This window comes from Homo sapiens, chromosome 17 (assembly GCF_000001405.40).
Source record: "Homo sapiens chromosome 17, GRCh38.p14 Primary Assembly".
NCBI classification, from domain to species: Eukaryota; Metazoa; Chordata; class Mammalia; order Primates; family Hominidae; genus Homo; species Homo sapiens.
Window position 1 is genome coordinate 70,576,483 of NC_000017.11, and position 19,141 is coordinate 70,595,623.

Genomic DNA, 19,141 nt, shown 5'->3' on the forward strand with positions numbered 1-19,141 from the left:
GGTGGTCTTGTTATAGAAGTGGGTGGGTCTACTTTGATGATTCTTCTTGGTTTTCCACACGGTGCCTATCTGCCTGATATGGTTTGGCTGTGTCCCCACCCAAATCTCATCTTGAATTGTACTCCCATAATTCCCACATGTTGTGGGAGGGACCCGGTGGGAGATAATTTGATTCATGGGGGCGGTTTCTCCCATACTGTTCTCGTGGTAGTGAATAAGTCTCGTGAGATCTGACGGTTTTATCTGGGGTTTCCGCTTTTGCATCTTCCTCATTTTCTCTTGCTGTCACCATGTAAGAAGTGTTTTTTGCCTCCTGCCATGATTCTGAGGCCTCCTCAGCCATGTGGAACTGTAAGTCCAATTAAACCTCTTTTTCTTCCCAGTCTCAGGTATGTCGTTATAAGCAGCGTGAAAACGAACTAATATACAACCCCTTTCCATCCCTTATGTATTCTCCTTCCCCAGAACTAAAACTCTAAATAAAAATTTTAATATTTTTCTCTTTCCTGGACTGTTTCTGGAGTTTTTAAAGCTATTATAAAAAGTACCAGCCTTTTTTTTTTCTTTTTTCAACCCCTGTTTTTTACAAGATTGTGGTTAGTTGCTCACTTTTCTGCAGGTGTGTTGGTGTTCCTTCTTCCTTCCTATCTTTTACTACCTTTGATTCGTTTCACTGGGTTTTGGAGCCTGCTATACTCCACCCTCTTCAATGGTCAGTTTCCATGGTGAGAGACAGAACTAGCTGGATTTCCTAGGCCGACTAAGAATTCTTAACCTTAGCTGGGAAATGTGACCGCACCTACCTTTAAACACGGGGCTTGTAACTCAGCTCACACCTGACCAATCAGGTAGTAAAGAGGGCTCACTAAAATACAAATTAGACTAAAAGCAGGAGGTAAAGAAATAGTCAAATCATATACCGCCTGAGTGCACAGGGGGAAGGACAATGATTGGGATATAAACTCAGGCATTCCAGCAGGGAGTGGCAACCCCCTTTGGGTCCCCTCCCTTGTAGGGGAGCTCTGTTTTCACTCTATTAAATCTTTCAACTGCACATTCTTCTGGTCCGTGTTTGTTACGGCTCGGGCTGAGCTTTCCCTCGCCGTTCACCACTGCTGTTCGCCGCCATCCCAGACCCACTGTTGACTTCCACACCCCCGGATCCGGCAGGGTGTCCGCTGTGCTCCTGATCCAGTGAGGCGCCCACTGCCGCTCCCGTTCGGGCTAGAGGCTCACCATTGTTCATGTGCGGCTAAGTGTCCGGGTTCGTCCTAATCCAGCTGAACAGGAGTTGCTGGGTTCCACAGTTCTCGTCCATGACCCACGGCTTCTAATAGAGCTATAACACTCACCTCATGGCCCAACGTTCCATTCCTTGGAATCCATGAGGCCAAGACCCCCAGTTCAGAGAATAAAAGGCTTGCTGCCATCTTGGGAGCCGCCTGCCCCATCTTGGGAGCTCTAAGAACAAAGACCCGCCTATAACAATGGTATGCTCTTCATTTTCAAAGTGCTCCAACAACTCTTGCTGAGGTACAGGTGAGTTGGCGAATCTTTCAAATCACTTTCTTGCTAACCAGCCAAGGACTCTCATTTAGGGCCCTATGGCCTGTTGATTTGTGCTTATTATATTTTTGAAGTTTTTAATATTTCTTACCATCTTATCCACACCTCTTCCTGCACTACACTGAACTCCCATAATATAAGCTCGATTAAGGCAACAAGTAAGTGTAGTTCTGTTCACTTAGCAGAGCTTACCACAGAATAGGCACCCAATAAGCATATGCTAAAGGAATGAATGAATAAATGCATCCCTTGTGAATCATTATCATCCAAAGTACATATGGTATTATGTTATAAAAATAAATTAAAGAATAATAGTTTTTTGTTAATTGGCTTATGTAAGAAAGGTTATAAATTGTCTTGCATTTTCTTATACTAAATGGAATGTGAAGTTACTACTAAGAGTGTCTTTCCAGAATTTGAATAAGCAGTTGTGATACTAATCCACATTATCTCTTCAAGACACCTGACAGTAATTACCTCCGTGATAAATTTGAAGAAAGAAAATTGCTTTGTTATCTTGAGTTTAAGAAACTGATAAAGAATTAAATGAATTTAAATGGAGGATGGATTTTCTAACACCCTGACACTTTGACCACTGAAGTGCTCATACCATGTGAGGGATCTGTGGCCTGAAAGCAAGAAAGCTTTTATTAGTGATCCTTTAAACAATATAAGGTTTTTAACCCTATCCCTTTCTACCTAATGACATTTTTACTACCACAAATGAGAGGGGCCGAATTGCTCAGCTCATGTTTGATGACATTTATATTTACTTAAATTTATTTATATATTTATTTAATAGGTGTGTCAAGCACCTATTAGTATAAGAAAATGTGCTAAAACACCAATAATTTTAAAAGATGGGCAATGCATAGCCCTTTCTCTCAAAATATGTGGCTTAAAAGAAGGCATCAATTTTAAGTAATTCAAGGTAGAACAAAATAAACACCATAAGAGAGTTCAAAGAGGGAGGGTGATTCTAAGGACGAAACAGTCACATTAGGGAAGCACTGTGGTTTAGTAAAAAACATACTCAGACTTTGGAATCAGAGAGGCCTGATTCTCCTGTTTATGACATAAACATATGTGGCCTTGGTAAGTCTCAGTTTTCCCATGTATAACATGAGAGCACCTATATGAGCCTGTTGACAGGGGTTTTTCAGCCAACATAGTCTTGTACTTTATTCTTTTGACTCCAAAAATGGTAAAGAGAAAGAAGATCTATCTAACATATCATTGGTCCACATTCTCTCAGAGTGATCATTCTAAATCCAAAGCTGAAAATGCCATTGTTTTCCTTTGATACCTTTCATAGTTACACATCTTCTTCTGCTAAAGCTCAAATAATTTAAGATAATGAACAAATCTCTCCATCATCCAGTACTTGAGTGCCTCTTGAATCATGTCTACAGCCACTCTTTGTTATGTCCTCCGGATAAAAGATGTACTAGCCTGTTTGCAGTTCTTCAGACACATCATGAGCCTTCCATGCTTGCATATGTTATGCCTTCTGTTGAAAAAGCTACCCCAATTTAGCAACCAGCAAATGTTGTATCCTCCATAGATTAGTTTAGAACTTTTTTGTTAAATTCTGAGCTTTTCTCTTCCCCCATCAAAGCATCCACTCCTCACTCCTATCTATATCACTCCCATTAGCATATACATACTTTCATTTTAGCATGTATATTGTCATTTATTACATTTATTAATTTAGTATCTGTCTTTTTTCTAGATTCATAATACGTATGTGCTAGCAATATATTTATTGATATGTTCTTTGTCCCATGAGACTGTAAGATTTAACAAGTAAGGTTTTATTTCTAGCTTAACTTTAAATTTCCAAAGAGCCTAATTTCTTTTTGAAAAAAGAAAGAAACAATCAATCAACCAATCAGTTAATCCATGTAGCAAATAGGTAACATATTGAATATGCTTCTGCTCATCTAGAATAGACAGTGTACCTCCAAATACAATCATGAGCCTAAAGAGGGGTGAATGGATACTATGGTTTGGCTGTGTCCCCACCCAAATCTCATCTTGAATTGTAGTTCCCACAATTTCCACGTGTCATGGGAGAGTCCCAGTGGGAGGTAATTGAATCATGAGAGCAGGTCTTTCCCATGCTTTTGTTGTGATAGTAAATAAGTCTCATGAGATCTGATGGTTTTATAAAGAGGAGTTCCTCTGCACATGCTTTCTCTCTTGTCTGCCGCCATGTAAGATGTTTCTTGCTCTTCTAACATGCTTATGAGGCCTCCCCAGCCATGTGGAACTGTGAGCCAATTAAACCTCTTTCCTTTATAAGTTACCCAGTCTTGAGTATGTCTTTATTAGCAGTGTGAGTACAGACTAACACAATGGACAAATATTTCATAGTGACCCACTGACCATTGATATCATTTGGATCTGTGTCCCCACTCAAATATCATGTTCAGTTGTAATCCTCAATGTTGGAGCTGGGGCCTAATAGTAGGTGATTGGATCATGGGGGTGGATTGTTCATGAATGAATGGTTTAGCACCATCCCTTTGGTGCTGTTTTCGTAATAGAGTTCTCATGAGATCTGGTTGCTTTAAAGTGTGTGGCATCTTTCCCTTCTCTCTGTTCCTCCTGCTCCAGCCATGTAAGATGTGCCTGCTTCCCTTTGCCTTCCACCATGATTGGAAGCTTCCTGAGACCTCCCCAGAAACAGAGGCCACTATACTTCCTGTACACCCTGCAGAATTATGACCTAATTAAAACTCTTTTCTTTATAAATTTTTTGGTCCCAGGTATTTATTTATAGCAATGCAAAAACTGACTAACAACCATCATCTTGAGTTTCCAGACTTGTGCTTGTAAGGATGCCTCTCAGCTGGTGTACATAAAGAGCTATCAAGAACTCTACCTCAAGAGTCACCTTGCAATAGACAGAAATATTTTTCCTTAATGTCAAAATTATTCTTTACTGCCATCCAATACAATCACCTCACCAGCAACAACAAAATGTGTTTGCACATCTATGTGTTTTAGGATAGAAGACATAGGAAAAGCACAATTTGAGATGAAGTTGCAGAGTCAGTATTAGAACTATATTCCAGGAATAGAGTCAGTAAATTCTTTAATGTGCTTCTATACTGAGAATTATTTCTCTTCCTTCTATTGACTGTAATAAAAGAATAATAAGTCTGGAAGCACAAGAGCAAGGATACCAACACATATAAGATTAACTGTTGGTACCATTAGAGGCCCCAGCACAGATTAATGCCTGGGTGTTATAACACAATCAGCGGTAGAGAGGAAGTTTTTCAAATCAAAGCACTCCATTTGTTTTCATAAACACTGATTCACTTTAAAAATTGATCAGAAAACAGATTGGTCATGAATGTCATTTAAGATTCAGAGGAAAACACAGTACCAAAAACCAAGCAAAGAGAAGAGCCAATAAACCTTATTACATTTAGATGTCCTTTCTAAATCTTTTCCTCCCTCTCTCCCTTGCCCCTGGTTCCTTTTTCTCTCTCTCTCCCAACTAGTTATGGTGAGAATTCAGCATTGCCATGATGCCATTCTAAATAAACATTGACATAAGAATGAGTCTTGTTGCCAATACTCTAATGATCAACACAAGAAACCACCGATTAAATCGGTAGATACACAGGTGTTAATCCCCAGAGCCAAGTCCAACTCTGCATGTTCACCAACATTGAGATAAGTGTGTTTCTTGAGATATTACTGCTCAAATGAATTTAGCAAGTGCCAATAGAACGTTTTTTTCCATTCTAACAAAACTTTATTAACATAGTAGGTCTTGAAAAATTTAATATGCAGGTTTTCTCTATATGAAGGAAATAACAGAAACATTAGATATTGCAATATTTCCTAATTTTCACGTACCAATTATTTCATTTTAGATAACTTTTGTAACACTGTATAATATTCATTTTGTCAACATAAGGTGTTGAAGTGTCAAAAGTATTAAGACACAAAAGTTTCTCAAATATTTCTCCCACATGTAAAGTTTCTGGTTCTGAAATCAAATATATTTCAGAAGTGTGGGGTTTTAATCCTATGCTTTTCTGGCACATATTTTGCTTCTTGTTTCCAAGTTTACATAAAACGATTATTAGGAACTATAATTCTGAACTATATTGTTCACTTATGAAATGTATTGATTATTCTTGCTTATGCATACTGAAACATCCATTTAATTGTTCAAAAACTGTGAAAGATATTTTAAAATGTTTATTTCTATTTGAATTATAGAAGCAAAAAATATTTGTCATTAAAAGTTATTTAAGAAAACTTTTATTTAGGACTCATCCTAATGAAATCCATTTAAAATGGCAGTTATTTAAAAATAGATACCTTAGTTCAGGTAAAAAGATTTTTCTTCTCATTTCAAAATGCTATAGATGGCAATGAGTCAAAAAGAGTCAAGATAACAAACTGTTCTTTGCGGCATTAGAGAAGAAGAAACTCCCCTTCATGATATTAAGAAAGTCATTAAGTTAATTAATATTCAGTACATAAAAGGACTGAACAGATTTAAATGCATTTTGTGGCCTCATGATTTTACCAACACTTAGTCAAAAATATGCAACACAGTGAATTTGAAAAGTCCCCCCTTCCTCCTCCTATTTTTTCTTTTTCCTTTTTTTAAATCTCTTTTATTTTTCACAAAAGAATAATGATAATTAATAATATTATGAGTATCAGTAATTGAGCCTTTATTTTTTACCGCACACTCTGCTAGGCTTCTCACTGGTATCGATGCTTCTCCTACCAATGCTTCAAGTCAGGTCACTGTGCTGGATTTCTTTTCTTTTTCCCTCTAGATCTACTACTTTTTTTTTTAATTCCCCTCTGGGCATCACCTGGCTGACCCCTAAGGTCTACAACATCCCTTGCTCTTTGGGTTCCAGTTGGTCTCACAGTGGGAAGCTCTGTTGAGAGTACAGAGAGCAAGAGGTGAGTGAGAAAATGGCCATTGATTTCTTCTCTCTCTCTCTCTTTTCTTTGTTCCCTGTGTGGGCTGTGTTCCTCTACTGAGAGCACTAGCTCCCATTAGGTGGGAATCTCCCTACACCCACCTTCTCCAAGGCAGTGACAATGCTTAACACTTACCCCAAACTCTTTAACAGCTTTATATTCTTTCATTGGTCCTGGGCCTCATTCCTCCTGTCTTCTCTCAGCATCTTTGCCTTCCTAAATTCATCCTGTGCTGTGGTTTCTTTCTCCAAACTTCTTTAGTGGATCTTAGTGATACAGACAGTTATCACAAATATCTCCTTTCTTATTTTGAAATGTGTAGCATATATCCTGTCTGCCACTTGAAACCAAAGCAACAGCCCTTTTTTTTTACATTTAACATATTTAATGCAGATTGAAATCTGCACAAGGGATCATGTAACCTTCTTCAGCTATCTACTTTTAGATCTCAAAACTTCTGATTTGACACTTACATCCTCATCTCCCCTTCACCATGCACTCTTAGAGATTAACCTGTGTATTCAGCTAAAAGTGATTAAAGTGATTAAAGTAGGTTCTTGTATTTCACCGCAAGGTTATTGAATAAATTTTGTTTTACATATAAATTATATTTTAGGTATTTATTACCAGGATCAAATTTTGTTTTGGGAAAGTTTGATGTCTGTGTTTTAATCTCATGCCAAAAGCAAATAAAATATCGTGGAAATTATTTTGATATTACTTTTACTGTTAATTGCAAATGGAAATCAAAGACAATTGGAAAAAAATTTGGCTATAAATATATATTCCTATATCAAGAATTTAAAATATAAACTTATAAGCCAGCCCTACCATTTTCACCTTCATAAGCTTTTCTTTTTGTCTATTTTTGATCTATTTAATTAGAGTTTTGGAGGGAAGAGCAGTTGGAAGCCTTGAAACTTGAAACTTTCTTTTTCTAGAAAAAACACTGATTTATATAATCTTAAAAATTCACTCCCAGCTCCTCGGGAAGCTGAGGCAGGAGAATGGCGTGAGCCTGGGAGGCGGAGCTTGCAGTGAGCTGAGATCGCGCCACTGCACTCCAGCCTGGGTGACAGAGCAAGACTCTGTCTCAAAAAAAAAAAAAAAAAAAAAAAAAAAAATTCCCAGTTCATCACTGGCCATCAGGTAGAAGGGAGTGTGGTGGAGATAATTTAAATGTAAAAGTTTAGGTGACTTGATTTTGTGATGATTAATCCTAGAAGGCTTACTTGGCTTTCTTATAGCCTTTGACTTTTAGAAAAACATATAGTAACATTGATGCAGGATTTTTCTTGGACCCTTTGCCAGACTCACAGTAGGGTTGCCCTCTCTACTCGGACCCCGGCACTCAACCCCTTGCAGGAGGGAGCATGTGAGTGAGCTGGTGTGGAATTCAGCAGGCCACTCCAGCACCTACACAGCAACGAGCTCCATGCAGGGCCTGTGGCCAGCCCAGGTATGTCACCTCAAGGGGAATGTGGTGGCACCTAGCTGACGGTGCCTGCAACCCTGAAGCCCCAGAGGGGGTGTTACAGTGTTCCTTTAGTTCCACTGTTTGCAGATGGTGGTGTGTTAGCAGCTTAATTGGCCCCTTGCTTCATTGTGTGGGGCAGCTCCCCTCTGTTGGCAAGGGCAAAAGGCTGGTGTGACAGCCTTTCTGGGTACCCGCACTCGGTGGGTCCCAAGCTCTTGTCTGGTGTCCAAGAAGAATGAGGTCACACAGACGGTTGAAGGATGGTGAAGGTGGAAAATTTTATTGAGCAATGAAAATGGCCCTCAGTGGAGAGGGGAGCTGGAGAGGGGATGGGAAGGGCAGGTCATCTTCCCTGAAGTCAGGTTGTCTCTTCCCTGAACTCAGGTCATCTTCTCCTCTACTGACTGAGTCCAGGGTCTTTATAGGCACAGGAAGGGGAGTGCATGCTGATTGGTTTGTGAGTATGCAAAAAAGGTTCAAATAAAAAGTATCACTCAAAGGTGGGCACAACAGTGTAGAAAACCAATTAGGAAAGGGAAGGTATATGTAAAATAGGCGAAGGGTGGGCATCAATCAGGGGAAAACATGCCAAGCAGGAAGACAAGTTCTCAGTCCATTCTGAAGATTTAACTTGTATTTTGGCTTTCAGGCTTTAAACTATCTTCAGCTTGGTGGTGGGGTTTCACTGGGTACCCACCCCTATCTACCTAGGCATTTGGCTGCCTCCTGTCACTATCAATATCTTATTGATACTAAATATTATTTTCACATGTAGTTCTTAGATAAAATGTATGTAAAATAGTGTGCTTGAACCTGTTGTGTTAGCAACATGCTAGGAGCAAGTTTAGCCTTACAAGCTTTACAAAAATAAGTTTGTTCGTTGGATTTAATATAGCACAGAACTGTATTTGAAAGCAGTAGTCAGAAAGGAACACAACCCAGGGAGAAGTCTGGCTCTTATCACAAAATATGCATTTCTTGAACCAATCCATCATCCAAAAATGGAAAGTAGAGACAATAATAAACAAGAAGGCTTGATGGCCATTTCCAAGTTCAAGTTTCTATTACTTGATTGCAATTGAGTGGGCATTACTGTTTCTCCAGATTATTAAGCAAGAACAAAATTATTATATTATTATTTCTGAATTTTTGAGTGGTGACTGGATAAACAAGAGGCATTAGGAAATAGAGTTGCTTTTCTTTTTTTAATTTACATTTATGCTGGTAGTAGATAACATAATTTGTTGGTATATTGTTATTTATTTTAAATAACCATATTCATATTCAGAAAGCATGTGAGGAGTACCTTGTATTGAACATTTATTAAAAGCAGAATGTTGTCAAAATTTAGGGGATTTAATTGTACCATCAAATTGTACTCCCAAATAAATATTACAGTACAAAATAAACCCATGGATAATGAAAGTAAATACAGCAAAAGGGGTAAGAATGAATGGGTAAATTTCATGGAATTTTAGGAATCCATGAATACATAGGCACTTATTAATTGTTATTTGTATAACAAATTCTTAATGAAAGTGCTTTAACAACAATATTTTAAAAGACTGCATTTGTTTTACTGTGTACCAAATTACTTCCAGTTTTAGTGGCCTGAAATTACAGTTATTTATTATTTCACAGCTTCTATAGATATGGCTTTGTTGGGTATCTCTAGCTCCGAGTCTCTCATAAAGTTGCAATGAGATTGCCAGCCAAGGCTGCAGTCATCTCAATGCTTGACCAGAGAAGGATCAACTTGCAAGCTCACTCCCATGGGCCACCACACAGAGCATACAACATGACAGATGGCTTCCTCAGCTAGAGGGTCTTAAGAGGCAGCAAATGAGAGGAAGTGACAAGACAGAAGCCACAGTCATTTTATAACCTACACTTGGACATGACATCCCATCACTTTTGTAGCATTCTATTCATATTCTATTTATTAGAAATGAGTTACCAGGTAGAGTGAGGTGAAGTGATTAAACAAGGCACAGATACCAGAAGGCAGAGATCACTGGGGATCATCTTACAGGCTTCCTGCCAGAAAAAGATTAACACAAAATGATGCACTGTGTGAAATTACTATACTAGTCTTGGAACACTAAATTTTGATAATGGAGATTCAATCAAGCAACACTTTTAAAGCATTAAATGGCTAATCATAATCATTCTAAACTCAGAATCTTTACGTTATTTAGACATTAAAGTCCAGGTTAAAAAAAGAAAACAACAAAAGGACATTATTGAGCATTATTGAGTTAAATTGCTCACGCCCCCACAGTCACTCTGTGGACCAAGAACTATGGCTGGGCTTATTTTAGGATGGGAACTGAAGAGTAAGAGTGTAAGTTTTCAGATAAAATAGGACCCTTAAACAATTATGCTCCCACACTGGTTTAACTGGATCTTAACAAGTTTAACTGGATCTTGTGTGTTAGCGCGTAGGTGTTTATAAGCATAATAGTGCTCCCCAAGGGAAAGGTAAATTTGCCATCACTTCCCTACCAAAATGGCCTGGTACTTTCTTACCTGCCCTAAAGTCATGCTTCTTTTCAAACTTTGAATTATGGAATGCCAGAGGCCACAAAGCACAACTTATTTCTTTCAAATTGTAAATCTAAACCTCCTAGGAAAAAAAAATGGGCATTAATTTCATTCGTGAACATATCCCATAATGAGTCTATAACCCAGTTATTTTGTCCTTCCAACTTTATTATGATGTTATTCTATTTTGTTTTGCACTAATGTCAAGAAGCATTTTATTAAATCAAAGCCAAGATTTCTAGTTTTCTTTTAAATTTTTATGGGGTGCATGCCATACTTTGATACAGATATACAATGCATACGAATCACACCAGGGTAAGTATGGTAAGGAATTCTAGTTGTAATATTAAGCCCAAATTATTTCTGCCTCAATAAGAGTGACAATTAGATAATTTCTCATTTTTTTCAAAAAACTGAAAATCCTATAGACATGTCTTTCCTTTTTGAAAAGAAAAAAATAGGGGTAGTCATCTTATATTGATTATATTGTAATATTCTGATTTGTTTTTCAGAGCAATAAGGTTATATTTGATGAAGAGTTTTCACTGTTTTTTTTTAAAAGAAATGGTGGATGCTTTTGTGACTTAATTATTTTTCAGATGTTCATGTTCCATTTAGCTAAGACATAACATGATCATGCTCAGAACTCCTGCTGTTTTGGCAGGAAGTGGAATAAAAAACAAAGTTTTACTAACTTAAAACAGTTTCTCTTGGCCTTTCTGTTGACTTATTTTATTTCTTGAATTATTTTATTTTGTTGACATCTTGAAAAGGAGTGATTCTGAATTAACTGAATTTAAAAAGATATATTCATTCATTTTTACCTTGTGAAACCTTCCCTGTATGGATGAAAGGTAGAAGAGAAGACAAAAAAATAGTACATTCAGAGACTGACTAGTTATCTTATGTGAAACGTAAAATCAAATCTTGTTAAACACCTTGCTTGGTCTTCCAATGGCCTTCCTTTACATTTAGAATTAAATTCAGTGCCTTCATCATCCATCCGGTTCTATGTGTCCTAATCTATGTCTTCTGTTCCAACATTGTGCTTTGCTATTGTGGCTCAAGCCACTCAGGTCTGTGTTTTTTTTTCTTCCAACCCATGAATCTCATTCTACCGCTTAGGACTTTTATGCTCACTGCTCCCCTGTCTAGAAAACTATGACTCATTCTTTCTCCTCATTCAGTCTCTAATTAGAACAGCTTTCCACTGTGACCTAATCTATGGTCTAAATCTCCACTAACCACAGTAGCTGGGATTACAGATGTGCACCACCATACCTGGCTAATTTTTGTACTTTTAGTACAGACAGGGTTTCACCATATCAACCAGGTTGGTCTTGAACTCCTGGCCTCATGTGATCTGCCTGCCTTGACCTCCCAAAGTGCTGGTATTATAGGTGTGAGCCACCATGCCAGGACCAAGCTATGTTTTCTTGACCTTCTTTCTTTTCCCTTCCATGCCCATATGGAAAGTAAACAAATAATCCACTGCTTCAATATGGTTTTGCTTTGTTTCTATTGAATTACACTCTGTTGTTTTTATAGAACATATCACTATTTGGAAATTAATGTTTGCTTGGGTTTGTGTAGTTATTTTTCAGTTTATCATGTGCCTCTCTTGCTGGAATGTAAGCTACAATCATATAGGGATCTTGAAAACCTGTACTTTAAAAAAATAATTTCAACTTTTATTTTAGATTCGGTGGATACTGGTGCACGTTTGTTACATGAGCATATGGTACTGGAGGTCCTAGCCAGAGCAATCAGGCAAGAGAAAGAAATAAAAGTCATCCAAGCAGAAAGAGAAGTTGAACTGTCTCTCTGCTTGTAACAGAAAACCCGAAAGACTCTGCCAAAAGGCTCTTAGAACCGATAAATGCCTTCTAAAGTTTCAGGATACAAAATCAATGTTAAAAAATCGGTAGCATTTCTATACATCAATAATGTTTAAGCTGAGAGTCCAATCAATAACACAATCCCATTTACATAAGTCACAAAAATAACAAAATACCTAGGAATACAGCTATCCAAGGAGGTGAAAGGTCATTACAGGGAAAACTACAAAACACTGCTGTACTTTTAAAGCAAGCAGTAAGCAAGGCTGCACTTTGGAGGTGTGAGGTGTGGAGAGATAGTGCCTCATCTCTCAAGGTTGTTCACTGCAAGTACAATCCTGAGAATGGCCATGGCCCAAAAACACAAAGAAGCAGGAGATATTGATGGCATGTCTCCAAACACTGTGTTAACTCCCTTCGCTGAGGAAGAAGAGAAAATGTTTCTGTTGAAAAATGTCTTTTTCTACTTCCTATGTAATGCCTCTAATCCAATAATTAACATAATTTTATAAATTATATTTTTTGTGTTTCAAGATTATAGACTTCGGTTTAAGAATCTGGTTTTTCATAGCTCTTTTTGTGAGAAAAATACACACACACACACATCTCCACATTACAATGTGTGTGTGTATGTGTGTGTAAACATTTATTTGGTAGCTTAGGCATAAAGTATGGTTTTTCCTTGGCATCCTCGGGGGACTGCTTCCAGGACCCCCTGTGGATGCCAAAATTGAAGATTGCTTAAGTCTCATATAAAGCGACATAATATTTGCATATAACCTATGCACATTCTCCCGTATACTTTAAATTAAATTATGTCTAGATTACCTATAGTGCCTAATCTGTAAACAGTTGTTATGCTGTATTGATTTTTTTATTTTTATTTTTAATTATTGTTGTTTTTAAATTTTATTCTTATTTTTCTATTTTATTTTATTATTATTATTTTTTTGAGATGTAGTCTTGCTCTGTCGCCCAGGCTCGAGTGCAGTGGTATGATTCAGCTCACTGCAACCTCTGCCTCCCGGGTTCAAGCGATTCTCGTGCCTCAGCCTCCCGAGTAGCTGGGATTACAGGCGCTCGCCACCACGCCTGGCTAATTTTTTGTATTTTTAGTAGAGATGGGGTTTCACCGCCACCGCACCCGGCCGTTGTTTATTTTTATTTTTTTGCTAATTTTGATCCATGGTTGGTTGAATCCATGAATGTGGAAGCTTTGGATATGGAAGGTGGATTGTACTGCAGTTTGAAATATAGCTAAATTTTTAGAAGGATTTTAATATAAAATTCTAAAGCAGAACTATAATGCAGGAGACTGCTCATGTCCTGATAGAATCATTTTCAGGTTATATAATCTGTTCAAAATACTTGTTTTCCAATAAAAGGAAGTTGTTTTCCATAATCGGTTTTTTGGCAGAAGTCTCATTTATTGTAGTAATCTGTACAGGTATTTATTTATTTATTTATTTATTTATTTATTTTTGAGACAGAGTCTCGCTCTGTCGCCCAGACTGGAGTGCAGTGGCGCGATCTCCGCTCACTGCAAGCTCCGCCTCCCGGGTTCACGCCATTCTCCTGCCTCAGCCTCCCGAGTAGCTGAGACTACAGGCGCCCGCCACCACGCCCGGCTGATTTTTTGTATTTCTAGTAGAGACGGGGTTTCACCGTGTTAGCCAGGATGGTCTCTATCTCCTCACCTCGTGATCCGCCTGCCTCGGCCTCCCAAAGTGCTGGATTACAGGTGTGAGCCACCGGGCCGTCCTTTATTTTTAATAAATATTATCCTCTGCTATTATCAAATATTTGGGTGAGCACTCTAAAAGTATAAATTGTTAAATGAAACAGAGTATTTGATATTACTTTTTCCATATTACTAGAACTTATAAAAAGAGGTTAGAAATTTTTTTGTGTGTATCCTTATATTACTTTCTAATTTTCTTTTCTTTTTTTTTTTTTCTTTTGAGATGGAGTTTCTTTCCCTCTTGTCACCCAGGCTGGAGGGCAGTGGCGTGATCTCCTGGCTTACTGCAACCTCCAACTCCTGGGTCTATGCGAGTCTCCTGCCTCAGCCTCCCAAGTAGCTGGGATTATAGGCATGCGCCACCACGCCTGGCTAATTTTTGTATTTTTAGTAGAGTTGGGGTTTCACCATGTTGGCCAGGATGGTCTCAATTTCTTCACCTCATGATCCGCCTGCCTCGGCCTCCCAAAGTGCTGGGATTATAGGCGTGAGCCACTGCGCACGGCCCACTTTCTAATTTTCTCTTGGCATATCATAGTTGTATAATCACATTATACAGCACATAATATCTAGAGCCTGTCATAGTTTCAAATTTCAAACATTGCCATATATTAGTTCTGTCACCTTGGTCAATTTATATAATTATGCCTCCATTTTTTCATCTATAAAATGTAGGTTTCTTATGTGTTATTGCAAGAAATAAACAAATGAATATATGTAGAATGTTTAGAACAGTGCCAGGCACAAAAATAAGAAACGTATAAATGTTAGCTAGTATTATTATAGCAAGCAAATTGTAAAGTCCACATTTTTTTTTTTTTTTTTTTGAGAAGGAGTCTCACTCTTGTCACCCAGGCAAGTGCAGTGGCACGATCTTGGCTCACTGCAATCTCCACCTCCAGGATTCAAGCAATTCTCCTGTCTCAGCCTCCCAAGTAGCTGGGACTACAGGTGCCTGCCATTACACCTGGCTAATTTTTGTTTTTTTTTTTTTTAGTAGAGACAGGGTTTCACGATGTTGATCAGGCTAGTTTTGAACTCCTGACCTCCAGTGATCCACCCACCTTGGCCTCCCAAAGTGCTGGGATTACAGGCCTGAGCCACCTCATCCAGACATAAAGTCCACTTTTCATGTTCTCACTTGAATCTCCTTAAGTTTCTGATACAGAGTTCACACAGTAGGTCGAGAGCAAAGGCTGTTGGATATTTTACAAAAGAACACTAAATAATCCATTTTAAAAGATGTTTACCAGTTGGGTCTTACCAGATCTCCATGGAGTGCATAAATGTTATTTGAAAAGCTAGAAGGCTCTTCCAAAATTTGAGCAATATACTCTACCCAAGGACAAAATGAAAAATTATTAAACAGGTATTTGATAGCTAAATTGGGATAAAGTCTTTATAAGAACAGTAAGAGGTTTGCATCTAATTATGCTCATTTAAAAATCCATTACTTAACCATTAATTAGACAAAAAGAGAAGAAAGAGTATGACTTCATTTTTATCTAATTAATAGGAATTTTGGAATGCGCAGTTCCAGAAAAGCTTATCTCCTAGAGTGTTATAGTCATCACTTTAAAATTAATTATTTTTAAGTCAAAGTGATGAGAAGTGCACTACAAAAAATTCAATGTTTGTTTTGACTAAAGAAAATATTATGAATATAATAATATAATATTAAAAACAAACCAAATACACTAACTAGCATTTAGAATGAGTGAACTTTCATTATTTCCCAGTGTATATAATGGCAAACTTGCACAGTCACTTGATTTTATAGAAAAAAAAGAATATAAAGAGTTCTGCTAATTTCATGTGCCATCGCTTATTTTATCTGCATTAATTTAAAGATATAGTCTGCCTGTGCCCAATAAAAACATCTGTATTGCAAAATTTAATAATTTATATTCATATATTCGTATAGTTGTACTTGTCTTTGATGAATATTATCACTGAAAAAAATTGTTGAGTGATCTGTTTCTTTCCCTTTTCTTTTTGTTTTCTCTTTCTCACACACAAACACAGAACACTCAATCACATGTTTAAAAAAAATGAATCAGTCTTTTCTAATATTTTCCCTTATCTATTTAATCCTTTGTTTAAAAAATGGCTATAAATTTCATGTATTTAAAAGTAAACAGACTTCCATTTTACATATTCAGCCTGCATTTATTGAAAAGGGAACAAAGAAAGAAAGGTATCACGTAGTTGCATGCTGTCAGGTAACATTTTTATAATAATTCATGTGATTCCTTTTGTACATATCTATTCTTGAGTTGATTGTATTCAGGCGAACCTGAGTCACTTCTGTTAATGTCACAATGAGGGCTGAGTCCATTAATTCTACTTCACTACACACTGAGTCTGTGATAGGGATACAACTCCTCTTTCTAGCTCATCTTTTAGTAAACTTTTGTTATTCAATTATGACACATAAATAAAATGAACAGATCTTAAATTACACCTTGATACATTTTACAAAATGAACAAATTCTTTAACCACTAAAATCAAAATAGAGAATATTGTCAGTACTCCAGAGTCCTTCCTTCTTGCCCTGTCCCTCACTAAAGTGACTATTATTTTGACTTCTGTCATCAGAGATTAGTTTGTTCTTTTATTTGAAATTTATATAAATAAAATCTTACAGTACACACATTTTTGTATCTGGCTTCTTTTTCCCAAAATCATGTCTGTGAGATTCATCCATGTTACATGTAACATTACTATAGAATTCTCATCCCTGTATGATATTCTATTGTATGAATACATCACAATTTATTCATTTTACTATAGATGAACACTTGCATTGTTTTCAGTTTCATGATATTATGAATAACTTGCTACAAATATTTTTAGACATCAGTTGGAGCACATGTGTGTTATATATGTAAATAGAACCTCTGGATCTTAGAGTATAAACATGTTCAAATTCATTAGACTATCAATTTTCCCAAATTGGCTGTACTAGTTTTTAAATTCCACCAGCAGTATATGAAAATTGTAGTTGCTACACTATCTTGACAATATTATATATTGTCACTTATTTTTAATTTTTGCTATTATGGCTTAATTAATATTGGATTTTTATTTTCCTAACAACTAATAATGTACATCTTTTATAAGCATATTGGCATCTTTTTATGTAGTTTCTGTTCATATTTAGTAAAGTGCTCACTCAATATTCTCCCTTTTTCTAAAAAATTGAGTTTTTTATATTCTTAAATGAAATAATGTATAAGAAGTATGTCTCTTTTACCTATATATCATATATTTTATATTACTCATATATAGATACATATTCTCTCAACCTATGGCTTCCATGTTTACTTTTAATACTGAGTTTTAGTTAAGAGAAGAACTTAATTTTAAAAGTCTAATCTCACAATTCTCTCTTTTATGGTTAGTGCTTTCCCTCTTCTATTTAAGAAACTCTTGTACAACTCCAGAATCATAATTTATTTATATTATAGAATTTCTTTTAACATTTCTAAACTGTAATGTGGAAACATTTTCGTGTTCATTAATCTACATAAATATAGAACATAAATATATAAGTGATCTGGTGCAATATATTGAAAAGACCACATTTCCCTTACTGCACCTTCCCTAGTATGATATCTTGCTGTAAATAAGTTAATTCTATTCATATGCATCTGTTTCTGGATTTTCTAATCTATTCCATTGGTTTATTTTTTCTTTCCTTCTGGTAGTACAACAATGTATTAAGTCTTAATATGTCTTGTTATCCTGCAGGATGAATCTTCCAACTCTCTTCTTCCTCAGGATTCTCTACCCACTTTCAAAGTCCTTCAATATAATACTGAAGAGATGTGGTGATAAATGACATCCTACTCTAGTTTTTGATCTCAGGATGTAAGTTTTTGAAACTGCAGCATTAGCATGATGTATACTTGTAGAATTTTGAAAATAACCTTTATCAGATTAAAAAACTTCACTTTTGCTTCTAAGTAGACCAGGGCTTCTACTGAAACAATAAGAATAGCTGAATAAATTACAAAAGTTGTATTTCTAAAGGAATTAGAGGACAGAAGAAATAATGAGGATTAAAGTGACTGAAACTCCAGAGAGAATAGAGCTGTTCAAAGGTGAATGAAGATGTGCACTGGCCTTTTCCAGGTTGCATTTGCCCATTCAGAATTGGCAGAAGTGGAGAATACTGGCTTCGCCCAGGCATTAGTCATTTCCTGGGGAATAAGAAGTCAGTAGAGGCCGGGTGCAGTGGCTCACACCTGTAATCCCAGCACTTTGGGAGGCTGAGGTGGGCAGATCATGAGGTCAGGAGTTCGAGACCAGCCTGACCAACATGGTGAAACCCCCTGTCTACTAAAAATACAAAAATTATCCAGGCGTGGTGGCATGCGCCTATAATCCCAGCTACTTGGGAGGCTGAGGCAAGAGAATCCCTTGAACCCGGGAGGCAGAGGTTGCAGTGAGCCGAGATCGCACCACTGCACTCTAGGTGACAGAATGAAATTCTGTCTCAAAAAAAGAAAAAAAAAATCCACTGAAACTCTGTCTCAAAAAAAAAAAAAAAGTCAGTAGAAGTTTTAGTAGTTGTGCAAAGATACAGTGACAAAATCAGAGACTTAATGGGGTCTAAAACACAGAGTTGGTTTTCTCCCAAAGACGTGCCTCACGTTCTGAAGCTTCCTGTAGCAAGAGACTAAAAAAAAATAAAGCAAAAGATTTTGGAAAACACAGCAAAACTCCTACAGTCTTGGAGTGCTGGAGAAACAGACACATTCCCCAAACTCTCACCCAAAATCCTCAAACAGCCAAGTGTTAAGGATGAAGGGTAAGCCACAAGGAGACTGAGTCCTAAGGACTGCAACCAACTTTACCCATGCTCAGGCCTCGATTGGATTAAGTGATCAATTTCCAAACCTCTTCTGGTGAAAGTTACATCATCTAATGCCTGTATTTTTTATAGTAAATAAACAGCATGCAATTAATAATTATTCTGCTTGTGCAATAGGAGCATA